The sequence below is a fragment of the Homo sapiens genome, chromosome 21 (assembly GCF_000001405.40).
Source record: "Homo sapiens chromosome 21, GRCh38.p14 Primary Assembly".
NCBI classification, from domain to species: Eukaryota; Metazoa; Chordata; class Mammalia; order Primates; family Hominidae; genus Homo; species Homo sapiens.
The window spans coordinates 44,753,389-44,776,118 of NC_000021.9; the positions used below are offsets into that span (position 1 = coordinate 44,753,389).

General features: G+C 54.6%; 1 protein-coding gene across 3 annotated transcripts in view, besides 6 other annotated features; it reads right to left on the bottom strand.

Annotated features, from left to right (window-relative positions):
- Positions 1,866-2,160: an enhancer, noted in NCBI's record as "tiled region #5612; HepG2 Activating non-DNase unmatched - State 12:CtcfO, and K562 Activating DNase matched - State 13:Ctcf". NCBI's record gives its function as "activates a minimal TATA promoter and a strong SV40 promoter by Sharpr-MPRA in HepG2 and K562 cells {active_cell/tissue: HepG2 | K562}" and the evidence as "EXISTENCE:reporter gene assay evidence [ECO:0000049][PMID:27701403]".
- Positions 11,018-11,583: an enhancer, noted in NCBI's record as "H3K4me1 hESC enhancer chr21:46184321-46184886 (GRCh37/hg19 assembly coordinates)". NCBI's record gives its function as "activates a minimal SCP1, AML or CMV promoter by ChIP-STARR-seq in naive H9 embryonic stem cells {active_cell/tissue: H9 hESC(naive)}" and the evidence as "EXISTENCE:reporter gene assay evidence [ECO:0000049][PMID:30033119]".
- Positions 12,268-13,031: an enhancer, noted in NCBI's record as "H3K27ac-H3K4me1 hESC enhancer chr21:46185571-46186334 (GRCh37/hg19 assembly coordinates)". NCBI's record gives its function as "activates a minimal SCP1, AML or CMV promoter by ChIP-STARR-seq in naive and primed H9 embryonic stem cells {active_cell/tissue: H9 hESC(naive and primed)}" and the evidence as "EXISTENCE:reporter gene assay evidence [ECO:0000049][PMID:30033119]".
- Positions 13,032-13,795: an enhancer, noted in NCBI's record as "H3K27ac-H3K4me1 hESC enhancer chr21:46186335-46187098 (GRCh37/hg19 assembly coordinates)". NCBI's record gives its function as "activates a minimal SCP1, AML or CMV promoter by ChIP-STARR-seq in naive and primed H9 embryonic stem cells {active_cell/tissue: H9 hESC(naive and primed)}" and the evidence as "EXISTENCE:reporter gene assay evidence [ECO:0000049][PMID:30033119]".
- Positions 15,046-15,340: a silencer, noted in NCBI's record as "tiled region #676; HepG2 Repressive non-DNase unmatched - State 15:Elon". NCBI's record gives its function as "represses a minimal TATA promoter and a strong SV40 promoter by Sharpr-MPRA in HepG2 cells {active_cell/tissue: HepG2}" and the evidence as "EXISTENCE:reporter gene assay evidence [ECO:0000049][PMID:27701403]".
- The window catches only part of UBE2G2 (ubiquitin conjugating enzyme E2 G2), a 33,241-nt gene continuing 25,702 nt past the window's right edge, over positions 15,192-22,730 (bottom strand). For all 3 annotated transcript variants that reach the window (NM_001202489.2, NM_003343.6, NM_182688.3), the window contains 2 exons: positions 20,159-20,299; positions 15,192-18,101 (listed from right to left, as the gene is read on the bottom strand). In NM_001202489.2, the coding sequence (NP_001189418.1) occupies positions 17,989-18,101; positions 20,159-20,299 (254 nt within the window). In that variant the 3' untranslated portion in view covers positions 15,192-17,988. The remainder of the gene's footprint in view (positions 18,102-20,158; positions 20,300-22,730) is intronic.
- Positions 15,637-16,137: an enhancer, noted in NCBI's record as "H3K4me1 hESC enhancer chr21:46188940-46189440 (GRCh37/hg19 assembly coordinates)". NCBI's record gives its function as "activates a minimal SCP1, AML or CMV promoter by ChIP-STARR-seq in naive H9 embryonic stem cells {active_cell/tissue: H9 hESC(naive)}" and the evidence as "EXISTENCE:reporter gene assay evidence [ECO:0000049][PMID:30033119]".

The window sequence follows — 22,730 nt, forward strand, 5'->3', positions numbered from 1 at the left end:
CTGCGTGTCTGTGGCTGGGCTGTGTAGTAGAATCCCGTGTCAAAGCACCCACCCTCAGAGGCTCCTGGGGGAGGCCCGGTTCTGTCCAGCAGCATGGGAGAGAGATGGTGCTGATGAAGAGGACAACACGGGGCTGTCTGCAGAGCACCTGCCACGCGCCAGGCTCTGTGTCCACAAGCACGGCGGCTGCTCCCACATGACGGAGCTCGTGCGGCAGCTCCAGGACTGTCTGGTGCCAGAGCCCCAGCTCTCCGCCAGCCCCAGGCCACTGTGCGAGGCCCTCAGTGAAGAGGGGGCCGTGGCTTTGACTGCAGGATGCACGGGCTCGGGGTCGGTTTCAGTCAATCCTTGATTTCTCATCGTTGCAGCTTCTCAGAGGAGTCAGTTCACAACGAGCAGAACAGCTTCCTGGAGAATCCTCCACACAGGAGGTAACCATGGAAAAAGTGTCTACATATGGCTCTGATATGAAAAACTAAGCTCTGGACTTAAAACAGTGTAGCAGTCCATAAACCAGAGAGGTGAAGTGAAGAGACCCACCTGAGTGTGTGCAGCAGCAGCCCAGGCCGTCTGTGCCCTCCTCATGCTGAAGACCTTTCCAGAGCTCGAAAAACACGTCTAAAACCTCGTGAATACCATCAAAGAGGTAACAAGCCAGTGAGCACTCCTGGGTCAAGACCCGAGAGAGGATAGAAAGTCAAGAGATGGGCCCAGGGTTTGGAACCGCTTTGCTCTGGAGGTATTTGAAAACCTGCAGGAGGCAGCTAAGTAACTGAGCTGAGTCGCCCATGACCTGGAGAACAGGAACTGAGGTCTGCCCAACAAAGGTGGGTGCCCCAGGCCGGGCGCGGTGGCTCATGCCTGTAATCCCAGCACTTTGGGAGGCCGAGGCGGGCGGATCACGAGGTCAGGAGATCGAGACCATCCTGGCTAACGTGGTGAAACCCCGTCTCTACTAAATATACAAAAAATCAGCCGGGCGTGGTGGCGGGTGCCTGTAGTCCCAGCTACTTGGGAGGCTGAGGCAGGAGAATGGCGTGAACCTGGGAGGCGGAGCTTGCAGTGAGCAGAGATGGCACCACTACACTCCAGCCTGGGCGACAGAGTGAGACTCTGTCTCAAAAAAAAAAAAAAAAATGGTGGGTAACCTGGGAAGCACCTCTGCCTCATGCCAGGACCCAGAAGGGATGCATTCTAGGACCAGGGTGAGCAGAATACAAATTAGCCCTTGCACAGCCTGCAGCCTGGCTTCTAGGCATTCAGGCCAGGAAAACATCAAACCCAGAAATTATGTTAAGGCAATCTCCAAATACTGATGCCAGCAGGCACCTAGCAGAAGCCATTTGTAAAATCCTATCTGGAAGAAAATAACACTATACCAGGCCTCAAATTATTTTTTATGAATAAGTTTTCAAATAAAATGCCCAGAATATAAAGATGACCAAGCATACAAGGATACACAACCACATGAACAAAAACTGGCCAAAACAACAGAAAATAGACCCTCAAAGACTCCAGATTAGACATAGATGTAAACATCTGGGCAAGCTTGGAAATTTTGGCAGGAAACTAGAAATTATGAAAAGTGGAATCTGCATGTTTGAAACACTACAAACAAATTGCCACAAACTTAGAGGCTTAAAATAACATAATTTATTCTCACACAGTTCTGGAGGTTGGAAGATCAAAATGAGTGTCCCTGGACTATTCCAACATATTTTTAACTCCAATCCCGGAAGGAAAGGGGAGAGAAAATGGGGAGAAAGGAACATTTAAACAGATACAAGCTGGCAATTTTCCAAAACTGATAAAATGCATCATTCTGCAGATTTGAGAGACCAAGAGAAATCCAAGCTGGATAGATAAAAAGAAACACCATAGTGAAACTACAGAAAACTAAAGTCAAAGCATTACAGCAGCCAAAGAAAACTGCAGACTTCCTTCAGAGGAGCCACAGGAAGCCGCACAGTGTTCATGGAAGCCAAGAGACAGTAGGGAGGCATTTCCGGTCCACTCCCAATCTACGATCCCCCACCACGCAAATGCCCCTGGATGCAACCCCCATTCTTTGTACAGCAGCTGGGTTGGTAAAATAGAAACTTCAATATCCTGCCACCTGGGGGACCACTCATTCCCCAAACATTTAGAGGGGACTGTTCTGTATAACGGGTTAAATGTCTTCTGGGTGACAGAGCAAGGCCCTGTCTCAAAAAAAAAAAAAAAAAAAAAAGAATACCATCTAGACCCTCTTTGTAATAATTTATTTGAGACCCTTTGAGACCACCCCCCCCCCGTAAAAATTCAAATTACTTTTTAATTTGCAAAATTTATTTAAGGGCTGGGCACAGTGGCTCACGCCTGCCATCCCGGCACTTTGGGAGGCTGACACAGGAGGACCGCTTCAGCCCAAGAGCTTGAGACCAGCCTAGGCAACATAGCAAGACCCCATCTCTACAAAAAATACAAAAATTAGTCAGGTGTGGTGGTGCATGCCTGTAGTCCCAGCTATTTGGGAGGCTGAGAAGGGAGGACTGCCTCAGCCTGGGAGGTTGAGGCTGAGGCGAGCCGTGATTATGCCACCACACTCCAGCCTGGACAACAGAGTGAGACCCTGTCTCACACACACAAAAACATTTAAGAATGAACAGAACTGGAGTGATGGAGAAGAAGAGGGAGGAGGGCACTAATACTGAAGTTCAGGAATGTGGGAAGGTTCTAGAAGGCCAATGGCTACAGCACCAAAGCATGCTGGAGGAGCAGGGAGGTCTGGACACCAGGCATGACCCAAAGGGCCCCAGATCTGCTTTGCAGGGCCACCAGACCCCACATCGAACCCTGTGGACAAACGTTTCTCTTGAGACTTGTCTGCTGCGGTTTGCCACACTTACTACAGTTACCACGGGACTGAACGAAGGAGGACAAATGCAGAAATGAAAACTTAAACTGTTGGAAAGAAGGGGTTTGGGGAAGAAGAAGAGGGCTCCCTGCTTCTAGTGAGCAAGGGCCACCGCCGCGAGCTTCTACAGCCCTTCATATTTATTAGGTAGAAAGAGCAGGGAGGAGGAGGTAACGATCGGAGGGCTGCTTGATTGATCACAGGTTCACATTATTGCTCACAGGCTTCAGATGTGCCTCATCACAAGAAACACCGCGCTTGACGCGTAACTGCCCTCAGCATTTCTTCGGGGCAGCAGACGCAGTTTGTCAGTTTGCCAGCATTCTGCATTTATGAGAACAGTTTGCTGTCTACTCATACAGCCTCCAGTGGTATACTGAGTGGATCACGACCCTCACTCTTTCGGCCTGCAACACTTGTCTAGTCTTAGCATGTGATGGGGCCTCTGCTTCCCTGCTCCCCTCAACAGCTGTCCAGCCGTCTTAAGGACACAGTCAAGAATATGAACAAAGATAGTGTTTGCAATGGTTTTCATGGTAGAAAAGACCTGACTGCCACAGGGAAGACTGATAGGGCCTCTGAGGTGGCTCTGAAGTGGGGGGCCACTCAGACGCCTGAATGCCAACTGGAGGGAATGTGCGTAGGGCCTGAGAAAGGCTGAGAAAGGCTGTGAGTCTGGGATCAGGAGACGTGCAGGGCTGAACGCCGTCTGTGCCCTGGAGTCGGTCACTATAGTCCATCGGGGCCCCATCTCGGCGCCGGAGACACCAGCAGACAGGCAGCATGCAAAGGCTCCCACTTGCTTCTGACCAGGCCCACCCTCGCCACCTCTGCCATCCCCAGCATCCTGGTACAGAGCACTGTGCCGGGTATTAAAATATAACATGTGTCCAAAGACAGGGCACGAGATCAGGGCACCAAGAAGCAATTATCAGCAGTGCTGATCCAGACCATGGATATATTTTAGATCCAGCTTTTTGCTAACCTTTCTTTTCTAATTTCTCCAAAATGATCATAAATTGATTTTTCATTGAAAATTAAAAGGCTTTTTTCAGTGTTTTGTCTATTTAAGGAGAGGCCACTGCCACGGTCCAGCTGAGAGAGAACAACCTAGAATGCAGGTGGGGTAGTTTGAGAATCACCAGGACATGGGGCCATGTGTTCAGGCAGGGCCTGATGGGGAAGATACGGGGACCCTGGGACCTGATGGGGCAGCTGGGGGTGGTGACTGGAGCTCCAGCCACAATGACTGGACCACTCAGACAGTTTGGGACAGGGAGGGTAGGGAGGGCGTGCACTGACGTTTCAAGAAAACCATGAGGAGACTGTGGAGGGAGGCAAGTGCTGGAAAGCAGATGCCCAGTTGGAATCCCAGAGAGCCCAGGTGGAAGAGGCAGCTGAGGAGGGGCTGCCAAAGAGGAGACCACACAGTAGAGAGCTGGGGGGTGGGGGGGGGGTCAGAAGAGGTGTGGAGACGGAACCCCAAAGTCCCTGAACGCTGAAGACCAGCACAAGGCTGGGTGAAATACGAAAGCATCAGTGGAGGTAGTTTAAAGAGGAGCTTGGCTGACAGTTCCCTTAAGCCCCCAGCAGAAGCAAAAGCAAATGGTCTCGGGGGAAACACACCTCCAAGGCATGCCTGGCTCAGAATGGACTGGGCACACAGAGGGAAGGCCCCAGTGTCTGGGGGGCTGGACTCCCTTCCTAGAAGTGCCACGAGGCAGTGGCAGAAGCCCCACCAGCCTGGGTCCCTGAGTGACTCTGTGGAACAGAGCCCCTCTGAAGATCTCACTGGACTGGTTGGTAATGAATGCGAGAAGCAAACTTACCTCAAGCCCTAAGATTTGGGAACCATTTGCTTCTGCAGCATAAGCCAGGCCCACTCTGACTGACAGAAACATGTCCCCAGCCGGGACCCCCACAAAACCATACGCAGGCCACAGGTATTTGCCGCATGAGTGGCCACAGGCAGCCCGGTGTGGTCCACAAACCCCCAGGGCCAGTTCCTGAGGCCCAGCATGGTCCTGCAGCCAGAGGGTGCCACCTCCCTGGCCTGTGGGGTCTTCCCCCAATGCCACCCACTCAGCCCTCAGGGATAGGTGGAAGGGGCCAGCCAGTGTCCGAGGCAAACCCCTCAGGCTGCACTCTCTGCCAGTGCGGAGCTCCAGGTACAATGAGCGACACCCTCAGCCACCAAGGCCCAGCTGGGGTGTGAGCCGGCACCCATGGGTGACCTCCTCTACCACCTGCATGCAGGTGGACATGGCAGCAGCAGCCTGATATGGGGGCTGCAGGGACCCCAGCTCCCCCTGCAGAGACACTCACCTGGTAACCAAGCCTGTGTAGGCTGGCAAATCAGATGATTCAGGTGGCTAATTTATTTATGACAAACAGGCTAAATGTAGGTTAATTACTTTGTAATCATTGTCTGGAGGGCACATGGAGGGACCAGAGGCGGTCCACACACACTGAGTGTGGGCAAGTGAGAGCTGTCTCATGGGGCTGCTGCCAGCTGCCCGGGGCCCTGCAGGCTGGAGGTATCTGCCCCGCGGCAGGCGCCCCAGGAGTGGGACGAGCCCAGGTGGAGGAACATCAGGCGTCACCTGTCCAGGGCTTGCACACTGGTGCCCTGGGCAGTTCGTGGTGCACACCTGTGTGTATGCGGAGCCTGTTTGCCCCCAGGTCCTGCAGCCCCTCATCCTACCCTGGAGCTGTGTCTTTGTGGTCCCTCGTAAACGTGGGGCCCCTTGTGATACCTGGGGCAGCCCCTCCTCACTGTCGCCAGCTGGCCCCTGGGCTCCCGCCACAGTCTCCTCCTTCCTGGGCTCCATCCTTTCCCATACAACAGGACAAGTGAACATTCCCGAAGGTCAGTCTGGATCCCGGGCTACAGGGCCCCCCAGAGCTGTGCCACGCCTCCCTCACATCCCCCACCCCCAGGCACAGCCCTACCAGGCCAGCTCAGGAGCCCCTGCCTCTCCCTAAACTCCAAAGCTCCACCCTCATTCCAGAACGAGCTGCTGCCCTGAACCCTCCCCACCCTGACCTGGCTCCTTCTGCTGAGGCTCCAGCCCTCCCTGAGCCCGCTGAGGCCGAAGCCCCACCTTGGGGCCACGCTCTCCAATCAGCCGGCCACTTTGGCTGAGGCCGAAGCCCCACCTCGGGGCCACGCTCTCCAATCAGCCGGCCACTTTGGCTGACAGTGGCTGGTAGGCTTCTCCAGCTCCCACAGCCATGGAAGCGAGGGACTGCTCCACCCCTACAGAGGGCTCTGGTTGGGCACACAGCAAACCCCACCACAGTGGGAGGGCCCGGCCACCAGGCCAGCATGCCCTCCTGCCAGCCCCCTGTGAGCCACAACCCAGAAAGAGCCTGGAGCTGAGCGGCCCCTGCTGCCCCGTGGCCCCTCTTCTCCCCGTGGACATCAGGCCAGTGGTGTTGCCAGATGACCATCCCTGCCCAGGGGGTCTTGCCCTCATGGCAGTGGTTGGTGTCCTTGCACAGAGCCCAGTGACAACCCCCCACGGCCAGCTCAGGGCACCGACACTGATGGGCAGCGGCCTCTCTGAGATGGGGCTTCTGGCCTTTCCTGCTTCTTTGGATGGGCCTTAGCCAAGGTCTGTCGGAATCTCCAAACCAGGCCTCCAAACGCCGAGTGTGGGCTCAGACGCCCAATGACTAAAGCCAAAATGAGCATCACATAAGCTCTGAATGCGCTCTTTAAAGGGTGACGAACAGGTGTCAAAACTGAACTTATGTTTGCTTGCGTCCCCTCCCTGGAGGTGCGCGGCCCTCACTCTCTCCCTGCAGCAGACTTCAGGAGAAAACGCAGAAGATTTGGCTGCACCCACTCCTGCTCCTCAGAGTGCTGAGCAAGAGCGGTCGGTCTGAGCAGTCGGGCAGAGTTGTACCTGCAAAAGGCAGGCCACAGATTACCAACGTTCCCATCGCTATTTCACGATTTTCAAATTAAAAAGTGACACATATTGGCTCTAACAAGGGAATCAATACAAAATAAAGGTGTGAATTCCCTCAAGGTTCTGCTGCTGACTAGAATGGGGGCCTAGTCCTGGACTAGCACGTCTGCCCTAAACAGTCAAACACTGGACGGAACGCACAGGCACCAGTCTACAGGCGCGGGTGGGTGAAGGCTGTGATCCAGGGGGAAGGACACACTGCAGATGCCACAGCTCCCTTCCCAGGGCAATTTCTACCCAGGCACAGAGGCTTGACTCCAGGCAGAGCCTGGCAGGGCCCCTGAGCCTAGGAGCTGGAGACGGAAGCAGGAGGGCACAGAGGCGGGGCCTAAAATTCATGGGGCCCCAAGGCCTCAGCTGGGTGCTGCTGCATTTGCCCGGAGGGAGCACGTGGCAACCTACAGAGAAGCTGCCTTGGGCTGAGGGGGGAGGAAACAAGAAGTGGAGGGTGCTGGGGACACAGAGCTCTGGCCAGGCCAGCATGGAAAGAGCCCCCGAATCCCTCTGAGATCCCCTGGGCATCCAGCCGAGAAACTAGAAAGGCCACAACTGAGAAGTGAGGAAGACACCCTCAAGTAGGTCTACCCTAGACGCTGGCCATGCCTAAAGGCAAGCCCTGGCAGGAGCCACAGGAGAGACGGAGGGTGGACACGGAGTCCCACTCAGGTACAGAGACTTGGGAGGCCCTTGTGACATTTCTCAGACTCCACCCAACAAATGGTAAAACCAAACTCGGACCAATTCAGGTGGACCCACCAGTTCTCAAGCGCCAAGGGGACCAAGAGCAACAGTTCTCTTCTGGAGAAGGGGAGAGTCCAGGGCGTCTTCCACGAACAGTTACATTGCTTTTCTCTCCACGCTCATCACTGCCTTGTTCTGAGGCAGCTCCAGCTGTGCTGAGCTGCACGGAGCAGGGGAGACATTCTCAGAGCATTCCAGATTCCAGCCAGAGACGGTGGGGAAGGGGCCCTGGAGCTCCTGGGAAGAGGGCTGGGCAAGGCCTCTCACTCAGGCATGGACCAAAGAATGTTCTTGGCTCCCCAAAGCTGCACACACACAGAAAAGGTCCACGCCGCACAGAAAAGCTCCCGAGAGCTCTGCCGCCACCACCAGAGTCTGGAAACATAACATTCAAAATATTCACATAAAATTACTCAACATATAGTGAATTTAAAAATTACAATTCTCGAGGAAAAGATAATCAACAGATGCCAACCCCAAGACGCAGCCGAGGCTGGAACCATCAGACGAGGCTCTAAGGCAGTTCCGGCAGCGTCCTCTGGAGGCAAAGGTGAGCACACCTGGGCTGCGTGAGAGGACAGGCGTTCCCAACAGAGAAACGGAGAGCAGGAAACAAACCTACACAAAGACTGTAGAACTAAAAAATACAACATACGAAATACAAATTTTACCCCATGGGCGCACAGCAGAATGGAGATGGTGGAAGAGTCAGTGGCCTTGAAGATGGGTGAATAGAAACGGCACATTCTGAAGAACAGAGAGCAAAGGGTGAGTGTGTATGTGTGTGTGAGCACGTGTGAGTGGCTGTGTGCCTGGGCGTGTGTGGGCGTGGCACTGTGTGGGTGAGCAGGTGTGGGGGTCTGGCATGCGAGGGTGGTGCAGGGGCGTGGCCGGGTAGCTCCCTGGTCCATTCCCCACCCCACTGCCCTCCAGCACCTGGTGTTCGGCATGTCACGGGCTCTGCCCTCCTCTCCTTCCCTGTCACCACCCACATCGTTGTCTATGGCAAACCCCAGCCCTGGGTTCTCAAACAGAAGCAGCCCAGTGGAAGGTTAGGCTGACTCGGTCCAGCTGAGTTCCGGGGTTGGGTCCCTGTTTGCAGGCCCATTGGCCAGCACCCCAGTCTCTGCCCGCTGGAGGCCGACAGCTCCTCACTGTGACAACCAGAAAGGTCTGCAGATGCCGCCCAGTGTGCCCAGGAGGCCAGGCAGCCCCTCGTTAGGAACCCCTGTGACAAACACAGAAGGGGACTGGGTTGGAGATCACACTCAACTGGAGGTTACGTTTTCACATTTCTTGCTAGAAGCAACCGGAATGGATAGGCATTGGCAAGCCGATTCCAGGACCTCTGGCCAGGAAGCCCAGGGCCTGCAGCTCTCTGTCCAGCTCCCAGTGTGCTAAGAGTGGACCTTGGCCATGCCGCAACTGCCAACTTCAACCAGGAAGGGCTGCCACAGCTAGGCTCGCTACGTACCCTTGCTAGGTAGCTAATTCAGTCTCGTCAGAGCCACCAGACACAGACTCTCGTGACCCCACGGCATCAAGGAGGGTTACGTGGCTGGTGGGGGCAGGATGAGGAGCCAACCTGTCTTCCATCCAGGGACGCAGCTCCCAGGCCCAGATGGCGACCCAGCTCCACCCAGCCCTGGGGTCTTTGTAGGCAGGCCCAGGAGTGGCCAGCTAAGGGCACGTGTTTGTCTTGCCCACGTCCCCATCAGTTCCAGGGATCAGGTTCTTGCCACATCCACCTCTCAGCAGCCCCTGTGGGAGGAGAGAGGGGTGTGCTCCAACGCTGGCTGCCTGCAGGGCTGCTCTGGGGCTGGGATGAGTAGCCTTCCCAGGTGCCCACTCTGGGCTGCTCGGGCCCTATCTCTACCATGTACGCCCCTGGAGCCCACGAGCCGCTGGCCTCACTGCCCTGGGCTCCACCCTCCATAGCAAGTCAGGGCTGACACGACAGGACACCTGCGGAGCAGCCCAGGCGCGAGGGAAGAGACAGAGACAGATGGAGAGACAGAGACCGAGAGATAGAGAACTTCACAAAAGAGCAGGCCAAATGCTTTGCTGGAACTGCTCCAAAGACGCCCCCACAGGCACACACACTCTCCTACATGTGTGCACATATCTGCACACAGGTGTGCACAAACACACATGCTTGGTGACGTGGAACCCGAGGTCTGGGTGGGATCGGCCCCCCCGGGACATTTGGGATCGTGCTGCAGCCCCGTCCTCTGCTTTAGGAGCTCCTTCAGGTGGGAACCAGTCCAGCAGGAGAAACCCGTGAGAATCCCAAAGTCTCTTCTGCCCTTAAGCTGCAGATGTTTCATGTGGTTCCAACTCATTTAGTATATTATCCAGGATTTCAAAGATCCATTAGCAAAGGACAACCTTCCACGTTTGTTTCCATCTGAATTGGTTCCAACGAGACAGTCCTCTGCCAGAAAGCCCCACACACGCACACAACCTGAGAACTCTTCTGGTTTCCCGCTGCTCCTCCACCAGCCCTGAGCAAACAGGAGTGCCCCGCACAGAGGCTGGGGCCATGGCAGGTGTCCAACATGCTCCCTGCCCAGCAGGGATGTGCCTGTCATGGGACGTCCAAGGGACAGGCACCCAGCACACCTGGGGTACCCACCACACCCGGACACCCAGCACACCCAGGACACCCAGCACACCCAGGCACCCAGCACACCCGGGGCACCTACACACCTGGGGCACCTACACACCTGGGGCACCTACACACCCAAGCACCCAGCACACCCAGGCACCGAGCACACCTGGGACACCCAGCACACCCGGGCACCCAGCACACCCAGGCACCCTGCACACCCGGGACACCCTGCACACCCGGGACACCCAGCACACCCGGGGCACCCTGCACACCCAGGCACCCAGCACACTCAGGCACCCTGCACACCCAGGACACCCAGCACACCCGGGGCACCTACACACCCGGGGCACCTACACACCCGGGGCACCTACACACCTGGGGCACCCTGCACATCCGGGCACCCAGCACACCCAGGCACCCTGCACACCCAGGACACCCAGCACACCTGGGGCACCTACACACCCGGGGCACCTACACAACCGGGGCACCCTGCACACCCAGGCACCCAGCACACCCGGGCATCCAGCACACCCGGGGCATCTACACACTCAGAACACCCTGCACACCCAGGCACCCAGCACACCCGGGCACCCAGCACACCCGGGCATCCAGCACACCCGGGACACCCGGCACACCCAGGCACCCTGCACACCCAGGCACCCAGCACACCCGGGCACCCAGCACACCCGGGCATCCAGCACACCCGGGACACCCGGCACACCCAGGCACCCGGCACACCCAGGCACCCAGCACACCCGGGGCACCTACACACCCGGGGCATCCAGCACACCCAGGACACCCTGCACACCTGGGGCACCTACACACCCAGGGCACCCAGCATACCCGGGCATCCAGCACAACTGGCACAACTGGGGCACCCGGGACACCTGGCGCACTCGGGGCACCCACACACCCAGCACATGCCGCCCCAGGCCCATGGAACTCGTGCTCTGATCTGAAAGTTCTCTTCAGACTCAGACTGGAATGTTGAGGATCCGAGATGGTGGCCGCCTGGTAGGGACCTGGCCCTGCGGTGGGAGGGTGAGCAGCTAGGCCCAGGACTCTCAGTGGGTGACCTCCTGGAGGGATGCCACCCAGGGTGCGGCTCCATCCACCCCACATTGGAGGAGCTCTCCTTCGGACAGGCCTGGGTGGGAAGGCATCCAGGAGCCATGTTGCTGACTGCTGCCAAGTCTCAGGTGGCCCCGTGGCTGTGCCCTGGAGGTGGCCCCATGTCACCCTTGTGAGGACGATGCCCCCTTCCCTCCTGGCACACATGTGCCCACTGCCACCTGAAGAGCTGACCGGGGCAAGGGGCACAGCTGAGGACAAGATTTCCTGACCACAGCTCAGACATGCGCTGGGCTGGGAGGGACCGAGACAGGAGATCCTGCCCCGAGAGGTGGGCGGGGGTGGCCTCCTGGACACGCCCACCACAGGGAGGGCTGCTGTCTCCCGAGCTACTCCGTGTTCTCTGTGCTTTGCACACATGGTCTTTAATCCTCACCACCACTCAGGGCTGGGATGTGACTGCCATCAAACCCATTCCCAGACCAGAAAACAAAGACCTAGACAGCTTCCCTCGCTAGCCCAGGTCATACAGCTGCTGGGGTCTGAGGAAGGCCAAGCCCCAGCAGGCTGGCCAGAGCCACCTTCAGCTGCCAGGCCCACAGCTCACCCACAGCCACTGACCAGGCAGCAGTGGGGATGCCCCACGTCAGCCTCTGCCCACAGGGCAGGACCACAGAACACATCCTGCCCTCCCTCCGACCCCCCCGCCACCCCACGCCAACTCTGCCCATGCCTATTTGGCAAGCCCCAGACAACACTCCTGGCAATGCCAGGAGCAGCTTTCAGGTCTGTGGTCCCCACACAAAGGCACCCAGCCCCACCCAGTCACACGACAGGGTGCCACTGCAAAGCCTAAACCGGAGATAGGGCCCTGCATCATCTCCCGACCACAGAGATGGGGCTGAATGCTCTGTACTTACACACCTGAAAAACCAGTTCCTTTCACTTTGCCATCCTAGCCTCTCATGAAATTGTACTCAAAAAAGAAAGCCACAGGATGCGTTCTTGTTATCCCTATGACAAGCAACTTAGAGCAACAGCACTGCCAGCTACCAGGCTGGCCGATCTTCACCCCAGCCCCCGGGGGGTTCTGATAAGGATGTAGGGGAGTGAGTCACCTGACCAGTGCACCACCCAGCTGGGGGCAGGGCCGCAGGGCCACACTTGTGGGAGGCAGACAACATGCATGGCCACTGCAGGGGGAGGAAAATCTGGAGTCTGGAGCAGAAGGAAAGTGGCTGGGGTGTCCAGAGCACTTCCCCACTGAGCTGGTGGACAGAGGAACTTCCAGGCATGTAAGGGAGGGTGCTGAGGGCCGGGCCCTGGTGTCTCCTGGCCCCGAGTGGAAGGTGAGGCTTTGCCAAGTGCAGCAGGTGGGCTAATAAGCCTGATGGTGGGGGGACTGAGAGGACCAGACCAGGGTGCGAGAAGAGACATGAGGTGGCTGTGTCGCAAAGGCCAGCACCTGAAGCGGGGGAAGGTGGAGCAGTGGAGGCTGCCCAGCAGGCCCCTGGGTCTAGGTGGACACTGCATAGGAGGGTGCAGTGGGCCTCATGCCACCAACCGCACCCCATGGAGGCAGAGGGGCCACAGTCCTGGAGGGTGGGGGGCCTTGCAGATTCAGCGATGCATCGGGGCACGGCGAGGACCATTTCTTGGCTGGGGCTTTGGCAAATGACCTCACCTCCCCCACCTCAACTCCTCAGAGCACGCCCTCGGACATCTCATGGCTGGGTTCACAGCCTTCAGAGGGGAAGATGCCCGGACGTGTGAGGACTTGCCCACTTCTGGTGTCAGAGCTCGGGCCCTGGAGGTCAGGTTCCACACAGCCAGCAGCGCTCACAGTCCAGGCATGGGAACGGGGGCACAGGAGGGGCACAAAGGTGGAGAGCCCCATCTCCCTGACGCTCCTATGGGATCCCCGAACCAGTACGCCCACCCAGCAGAGGGCAGGGCTGGGACATTCAACGGGGTGAGGCCAAGGGCAGGGGTTACAGATGTTCACCAGGGGATGACGAAGGGCATGGGCCAGCTGCCTCGGGGGCACCAGACCTGCCTCGGGGTACCAGACAGTTGGCACTGCCCAGTGGGTGGGTTCGGTGGGTGTTGAGGCCTGGAAGGTGTGTCTGGGATGGTGAGGGGGTACAGGCTATGGCTGGCTGAGTGGTGCCGGGGTTTGGGGGAGGAAGCTGGTGTTTCCTGCCTCTGCAGGGAGGTTCACCTTGCTTTGTCCCCTCAACAAAGCCAGGCTCTCGTGACAACGGGTCACAACCTGGACAGATCTGAGGAGCTGAACACCTCCAGCTTCCACAGGGCTCAGCCAGGACCTGGGCCCAACAGCATTCCCTCCCAGATGGGGCCACCACGCCACATCAGCACGACGAGACCTCCTCCCAGGGTGCCCCCCCCAGCCCAGGGTCCAGGCCCCAGGCCAACACCCAGAGGGGCTGGCTTTGTTCACAGCCCCTCTCCAAACCCTGCCCCCACCCCAAGCGGCCCCGCGGTCCCCTCCAGGGCAGGGTTTCCAGAATCCACCTGTCCTTAGTGTGTTCACTGCCCCTTGGCAGCCCCGAATTTTTGTACCTGTTTCCTGTCCCCTCCTTGTGTCCAGGTAGCATCCCCAGGGCCCTCGCCTCCAGCACAAATTCCAGCCTGCAGAAACCTTGTCAGCTCAGGGGGCCACGGTGCAAGGCACGCCCAGGGGAGGGAAGCTGGGGCTGCCCTGGGGTGCCTTTCTGTGCAGCTGGAGCAGTTCCATATCCTATGAAGAAACTGGTACAGAACAGCACTCCTCTGAAAAATTAGCAACCTCATCTACACAGAGACTGGACTGGAGAAGCCCCAGCAGGTGCAGCAATCCCAGAAGTGAGAGTCAGAGCTGTGGACGCCACCCTTGCTGTGGCCCAAGCAGTGAACTGGGGCCGCTAACCCCCAGGAAGGGTGAAAAGCCCCAACACCCAGAAGATGAGACCCTAGAGCTTCCCTGGCCACCCCAGCAGCCCTCCCCATCCCAGGAAGCAGACAGTTGCATGGGAAAAGCAAGGACGGCACTCAGCCAGACAGGCAAACAACTGTGGCAAACCAGTGCCAGCAGACAAAACCCAGAAACACAGAGCAAATGAAATGGTAAAAATCACTGTCAACCCCCAAGGTTATCTGCGCAGAAAGGGTCCATACAGTGGGGACGGCCGTCCTGAGGCCCGCTGGCCGGGCTGGCCCTTGGCTGGCGTCTGGGAACTGGGATTTCCGAGGGGCTCCCTGAACCCCGCCTCACTGGGCCTGTGCTATTTGTACAAGGTGGTTTAGGCAGAACACTCACATCCCTGCTGAGAGTCTGGAATTGTAGCGCAGCCCAGGCAGAAGCTGCTCACGTGACCAGCCCCCGGGTACATCACCAGGCAGGGCATCCCCAACATCGCACACGCAGAGTCCCAGCTGCTTGCAGGGGAGTGAGGCGCATCCTGCGTGACCCCCACCCCAGGAGAGGCCTCCAAAGCTGAGCATGGTGCCCCTGGACTCGGCCCCAGGAACCTTTCCCTTGGCCGATTTTGCTCAGTGTCCTCCCTGTGGGAAATCACAGCCGTGACTACCGTGACCTGCATGGCCTCTGTCCTCCTGGAGAATCGCCGCCCTGGGTGGTCTTGGGGACCCCAACTCAGTATCACATTAGAGTTCTTACCCATTAAAAAGAATGCTTAGTGAGAACACTGGGCAAAGGGCAGAACAGACATGCCTGGGGGCCTGTGCTGAGGCACTCGCCCAGTGCACCCCACCAGGAGCAGCCTGGGAACCAGCCCAGGGAACGAGGCGCCAGCACCTGGGGAAGCCTGGGGACCCTGCCTCACAGGATTACAAAGGAAAGCTGACCGCCAACTACCAAAACAGAAACAGCAAATCACTGACACAGGAATCTGCCTCTTTATTGACATGCTAAGTAACAAGACGCAGAGGCAGGTCTCATCGCAACCAACCGTGACCACAGAGGACCACAGAGGAGTGATGACAGGGAGCTGTGCTTCTAAGCAACTGCAGGAGGGAAGCGCAGTCGGAACAGCCTGCTGGCTTCTAGTGGTCAAATGTGCCACTCACACAATGGCATCTGCTGAAAAAGCTGCAAAATGTCATTTATAGGTTAGTGAACACATCCGTCTCACAGACCCCAACTAACCTGAGAATTCCAGAGGAAGACCACAGAATGACAGAAGGGAGATCAGAAACAGAAGAAAACATGCCAGAGCTAACCCAAGTCTGCAGAAAAGCCCCCACCGTGAGGAATCCCAGCTGGGATGATCTGGTGTGCTCCCTGGGGGCAGTGGCCACAGGCTCCTCTGACAATACGACAAAGGGACACACACTGCAGGGCAGGGAAAACACAGAACTTTATTTCAACAGTCATTAGGTTCCACCACACAACAGGGACACCATGGGATTGTTTTTTCATTTAATAAATACAAATGAATAAAAATACTTTATTTTGTCAAGAGACTGCCTCTCCTCCCTCTCCCGATCTCACAGAAGCCTCCAGGCAATTGTGTGCCCCTCCAGGGCCTGCACCCACAGACCCCGTCTACTTGCACAAATGACTCTTCTTTACAGAGAGGGCTCCATCTCATTTGCCTGCAAATACAACATAGGTATAATACCGCTCCTTTCCCCCATCTCCTTCCAAATACGAGTTCTTGCCCTGCGTTCCATTTTTTTTTTTTTTTTTTTTGAGACAGAGTCTCACTCTGTTGCCCAGGCTGGAGTGCAGTGGCGTGATCTCAGCTCACTGCAAGCTCCGCCTCCTGGGTTCACGCCATTCTCCTGCCTCAGTCTTCAGAGTAGCTGGGACTACAGGCGCCCGCCACCACGCCCGGCTAATTTTTTGTATTTTTAGTGGAGACAGGGTTTCACTGTTAGCCAGGATGGTCGCGATCTCCTGACCTCATGATCCGCCCGCCTCAGTCTCCCAAAGTGCTGGGATTGCAGGCGTGAGCCACAGCACCCAGCCTCCAAATTTTAAATGAGCCCCTTGTGAGAAGGAAAAGAATCTGCTGTCCACAGAAGCCAGGCGTGGAGCTACTTCAACCAGAAACTGTCACCCATGACACTCTGTGTGGGTTCAGTCACACAGACCACGATCCATTATGGAAGGGAGGGAGAAAAGGATCACATCAAATCTACTGTATGCCTCATAGACCATCCCTTATTTCAAAAATAGAAATTCCTATTTAAATGCCGCCCGTGTGCGACAGGCCTGATATTTGCTTCTGCATGTGGCAGATCTGTTATTGCTTACACTGTGGCCTCCTGGCCTGTGCTGCTCAGCTGGCCCTGTTAGAGAACATGGGAACCACATCAAAATCCTAAGTCACAAAACAAGGGCTCTGTCCCCAGCCTGGGCCCAGGGGCCCACATGCCCACCTCCACAGCCCAGTCAAGTGTGGGGATAAGGCACTCCTCTGTGCTCTGAGCTAAGATATGGTAGAGTCCCTTCTGAATTTTGAGTTGCAAAGAATGATTTTGTGCTAATAAATTCCCAGTGCATCCAAAATGTACAAAAACCCTAGAATTTCCAGTTTTTAGATTGAAAAAAAAAAATTTTTTCTGTAGATCCAGAAGAAACTTTCATTGAAACTTTAAAGACCTCACCTGCACCTGCTCTAGTAATGCACTAGTTACTAATATACAAACGTAAATCTTTGATGAGTATGGTCGGGAAAAAACTGTCTGTCCTTGTGATCAGCAATAAATTTCTTTTTTCTTTTTGAGACTGAGTCTCGCTCTGTTGCCCAGGCTGGAGTGCAGTGGCGGGACTTCAGCTCACTGCTACCTCTGCCTCCCGGGTTCAAGCGATTCTCCTGCCTCAGCCTCCTGAGTAGCTGAGACTACAGGCGTGCACCACCACGCCCAGCTAATTTTTTGTAATTTTAGCAGACATGGGGTTTCACTGTATTAGCCAGGATGGTCTCAATTTCCTGACCTTGTGATCTACCTGCCTTGGCCTCCCAAAGAGCTGGGATTACAGGCACGAACCACCGCACCTGGCCAATCAGCAATAAATTTCTTTTCTATTTACCCCATTTCTTATTAATTCACACTTCAAAAAAGCATTTCCTGGAAGTATTTCTAAGTGTGATGGTTTGTAATATATAACAAATGAAAAGATGTAATTAGATTATAAGAAAAGCATCTGCCTGTAAAATATGAAGGAAGAAAGGAAGTAATGGACTCCTCATGGGGCCCACAGGGAACCAGGAAGGACCCAGAAAGGGTGCCGGGCCCTTCCCCTGTGCTGCAGCTACAGGGCCCCATTTCTTCAGAAGGAGCGTTCTGGGTATTCCATCGTCCCCTGGAAGTCTGGCAGGTACAACCCCCTCAACACTCCAGGGAGGGAGGGAATCCACAGGAAGCCATGAACTGCTGGTTTCAGCGGGGAGAGGTAGTGCTGACAGCTCTGATAATCTACCTGAAGCCCTTTGTGAGGAATACTGTAAAACTGCAGTAAGCTGTCAATATTCGACATTAAGTCATCATTTCAGAAGAGAAGCCTGTTTGAAGTAGGAAAGGTTTGAAAAAAAAAAAAGATGCCATGGTTCTTGCAAGTCTGCCTTGTTTGGTACCAGCACAGAGCATCACTGTCACTAAGTGTGCCGGGGGAGAATGCTGAGCTGCTTGGCGGTGTGTGCGCGCCTGTGCGAGGCCAGGTCTCACAGTCCCAGAGACTTCTGGACGATCTGCTTGGCAATCTTATAGAACTGCTCCCGGTCATCGCGCCACATTTTGGACGCATCCACGTTAGCTCCACTTTCGTCATTGGGCTCTGAAAGAAAAGGGAACACCCTCCATGTAAAAGGGAGTCTTATACGTAAGCAGCCTGGCAAGGTCTCCCATTTATTTAAAACACTGGCGGGGGCTTTCAAGAGCTGTGTCCCAGAAACAAAGAACCTGAGAACTGCATGGGGTCGGCCCCACCTCTAGAGTGCTGGCCACGCAGGTCTCAACGAAAGCCACTCTCATGACTCCTGCGTTCTGAGTGTCTGAAGACACCAGGACAAGTTGTCATCTGTCTTGCTGTGGAACATGCGACAACCACCTAAGCACAGGCCCACACGGCCTCCCACAGCAGCCTCCTGGGCCACTGCACTTCTGGCACCCGGACAAGCTACACGGGGACCACCTGCTGCTTATTTCACCTTTCTCAAGACACTCTGCAGTGTGGCTTCTCTCTCACAGAGCGCCCTCTCAGCAAAACTGCCCCTCACAGCTCCTACCAAGACAATCCCAAGCAAATGTGCAGCCTAAGGTAGACACCTGACCCCAGGATACCTGACCCACCCCCTAGCCAGCGGCACTGGCAGTCACTGCAGAACTGCAGTTAGGAGGCACGGAGGGAGTAGCCAGGGCCTGCCGGAAGGCAGAACGGAGAGAGACCACCAGAACTGGATGACATGTGCTGAGGCAGCAGCTGTGCAGTGCGGCGGTGGCGCTGCTCAGAATGCACGTGGGGACCGGTTCAGAGCAGAGTTGATGAGGATAAAACCCACAGCTGACATCTGAGGACAGCCTGAGCCACTGCCTCCCTCCCAATCTCCAATCCCCTGGCCTGGCTCCCTCCACTCAGCACATGAAGAGGGTTCACGCCTCAGCCCTCTCAGGATACACACTCGCGTCACAGGCCCTGACCTCACATCCCTCTAGACCCCACTCCACGGCACCCAAAGGCTCTGCAGAGAATAGCTGAGTGGCCTCACTCTGGCATCGACCCCTGGCCCTCTGCTGGGTCTGCTCTTTCCTTTCGGACTTGCCGCCTTCCTTTCCCACACCCTTCCTCCTGACTGCCCTGGAAGACCCCTCCCTGCTATGCTGTCACCCTCCGTCCTACTCCATCACCTACTGCCTCATCCAGAAATGACCCCACATCTTCACTCTCGTGTCTGACCCCCTTTTGTGGATGGAGGCCCCTTGTCCCACACACCTCAAACTATTCCCCAAATCCTGCTGTCTCCTGAACCCAGAGCAGCACCTCTGGTAGACAAAGAACCAGGAGTCCCAGAGCCTGTACCTTCAAGGTCTCCCAAACCCACCCCTTCCTCTTAGCCCTGGGACCACTCAGCCCTTCTCTTTTCTCTCCAGGCTACTGCAACACCACGATGTCTCTGTTTGTCTTCCATCACACTATTGGTTACTGCTGCAAGGATGGCCCTTCGAAGGCACAGCTCACAGGACATCACACCCCCAACTCCAATCCCCAGGGTCTGCTGGGGCTCCTCTCCCTGCAGCCTTGGCTCCAGCCAAAATGAGCTGGCAGTGCCCCCATCAAGTCAGCCACCTCCTGCCTCTGGGCCTCAGCCCAGGCTGCTTCCTTTGCCCCAAAACCCCATTCCCTCCCTCCTACCTCATCAACACCTACATGTCCTAAACACACCCCAGACAGCCCCACCAGGAAGTGGCCCGAGAGTCCCTGCATGTGTCTGATCTTAGGGTGCATCCCACTGGCCTCTAACTGCTGGTAGGCTTGGACAGTTCCCTAGAACGTAGGAACAAAGAGTTGGGGTCTTTGTCACACGAAGCTTTACACCCCCAGTCCAGTGTGTGGCATGTAGTGGGTCCTCAATAAACACCTACTGAGGGAAAAAGACGATCAAGGACCAGAGACCAGTTAATTATGGCCGACAATACAATATACAACCCCAGGCTATGCTAGAAGGTATGCTTACAATTGGAAAAGTGTAGGCAGATAACATTAAATGGCAATAGCATGTGTAAACTAACTGCAAATGAGGAAAAGGACATTCTAAAGACAGGATGACGCAAGGCTGGAGAACACCTGCAGCCTGGGTGTCCACGGCAGCTCCTGCCAGGAGGCTCGGGCCTTACCTGCCAGCATGCTCACCACCGACAGCAGGATCTTCTCCACACTCTGCACAGGACTCCACCGCTCCGCGCTGCTCTCGTAGCCCATGGGGTCATCGCCTGGCGCGTGGAGGATGGAAATGCAGACTCTCCCATCAGGGTAGACTGCAAGGGTCAGAGGCAGCCAAGTGAGCCCAGGAATGGTGCCCGAGGCATCGCCGCGCTTGGGCAGGCTCCACAGATAATGAGAACAAAGACTGCAGACACAGCAACCAAGCTGTTTGCACAGCTGGGGCATAGCCTGGGGCCCTGAGTGTCACGCTTCATGTCTGCAGGAATCCCGGTGGGGCCTGCTCACTCACTGACAGGCTCCAGGCTGACCCAGCCAGTTCTAATCAGCTGTCGTAGTCTAATCCACTTTCATATGAATTTTTTTCAAGCAATATATACAAAAAGACTAAATGAAAGGTTATCTGGCAAATATTTTATCAAAATATCTAATGTGATTAGGATTATTTACAATACTTTTCAGAGCTAGTTCCTTAGCTATTTCTAATTCTATCATTAAATCCCTGAACCGGTCTGTGTAAAATATATGTTCACATGGCTATGATAAAGGCAACTGGAATTATGTAAATATCTACAAAAAGAAAGGCACCAGGATTTCTCTTGGTAGCTTACTCTAATAATAAGTAAATTATCATCAGTACAACCTGGAATGTAGGTCAATGTGTCTAAATCAAATCCCTTTCCACCAAATATCATCATTAAAAAGATACACAAGGTCTGATAAAGAGAAATAAATTTTCAATTCACAGCATTTAATCAGTCCTCTTTTACATAAAATTGGGAGGAATTCTCAGATGGCTCCATATATACTCAGATATGCAGTAATCCATCTAGATAGACTCAACTGTAAAATTATAAAGCCATTAAAGTTATAATAATAGAAATAGCAATTTTAAAATACATTTATTTAACTCACCTGAGTTAATAAGCTCTGAATTTCATGAAAATTCACAAATGTGAATGGCGATCACTTACCTTCAAACAGTCTTGTCTTTCATACCTGGTCCTATGTGTTTCCACTCATCCATTGTTTCAGTGGTGAACGTTCAGTGGTGAACGCTCTACTATCCAGGAACTGAACCACAACTTCTCATTCAAGGAGAGTGGAAGAAACTAGATGCATACTTGCCCTGGACATCAGGCTGTCCACCTAAGATCCACATCCACAAAATCAGGAAGTTTCCCACTTCTGTGTTGCCTTCTCCAGGAGTTGGTCCCATAGGGTGACACTGCATCCACAGAAGCATCAAAAGCACCTGTGTCCCTGCCACAGCCCCTCCTTCACCAAGTCCCAGCAGTGCCATGTCCTAAACCTCTCGTGGATCCACACACATCTCTTTATCTTTAGTGCCCACATTTAGTTCCCAAGTTGCCGGTGTCTCTACCCTAGACCACTACAGCCGAGGGCCTGCCTGGCTTCCTCCCACCTGTCCTTTGCACTGTACCCAGAGCGAGCCGTCAGAGATCATTCTGGTCATGCCACTCCCTTGGAGTCTTTCAATGGAGTTCCGCCACTCCCAGGAGAAAACATCAAAACCTTCAGTATTGACCAAAAGGCCTGAGGTAGTTTGGCCCCGGCCTTCCTCTCCCGTCACTTCCTGCGCTGGGCCTTTGCACATGTGAAGGGCCCCTCCTCCCCGAATCACTCAGGTAACTCCTGCTTCACTCCCTACAGATGGTCCATCCAACCACCACCTCTGCAAGGTGCTGCCCAGAACTTCCTGATGTGACTTTGCATTTTGTTTGTGTGATTCTCCTATCAATGTCCATCCCTGTCCTTGGAATATAAGCTCCTGAAGGTCTGCTATTATTTGCTCACCACTGTATACCAGCAACTTTCAGTACGTGTGTTGAATTGTTTTTAAAGTATTTATTGACTAGTTTTTATGATATTGGTAGACCTATAGTTCTCAAAGATAATTTTTAAAAAATCAAAATAATCCAATTACAGTAAGGCAAAAATTTATATTATCTGAGCATTAAAAATAATTACCAGAACATTAAAAATAATAATCAGACCACCTGTAGTACATAGTCACATAAGGTAATCAGTTTATTGGTCATATTTGTCACTAATGCCATGTCACAGGTATTGTTCTGAATAATATATTTCTCCTCAATACAATCTTAGTATTTTAATTACCTACAATCCTCTTCATAGTTGCATTTTATAGCTAACCAATTTGAAACTACTTCAATTACTCTTACCTATCAATTGTATTTTTTAACTTTTTATTATGGAGAATTCCAAAAACACACTCAAGTAGACAGCGTGTGATGAACCTCCATGTTATCATCTAACTCAGGCGCATGGCCAGTCTCCCTGAAAGAAGGCACGCTTCTGAGCATCCCCTGTGCACACAAGACTGAAGCAGCTTTGAGATAAGAAAAGAAGTACCAAATGGTCTCTCTCAGGCAGCCGCCCACTACCTATGTGTACCAATATCTGCAGTAAATGAGAAGTCCTAAACGAGGGTTAGGACAGCAAGTCTATTGGCAGACGGCATTTCCACCAGTGAAGTGGCCG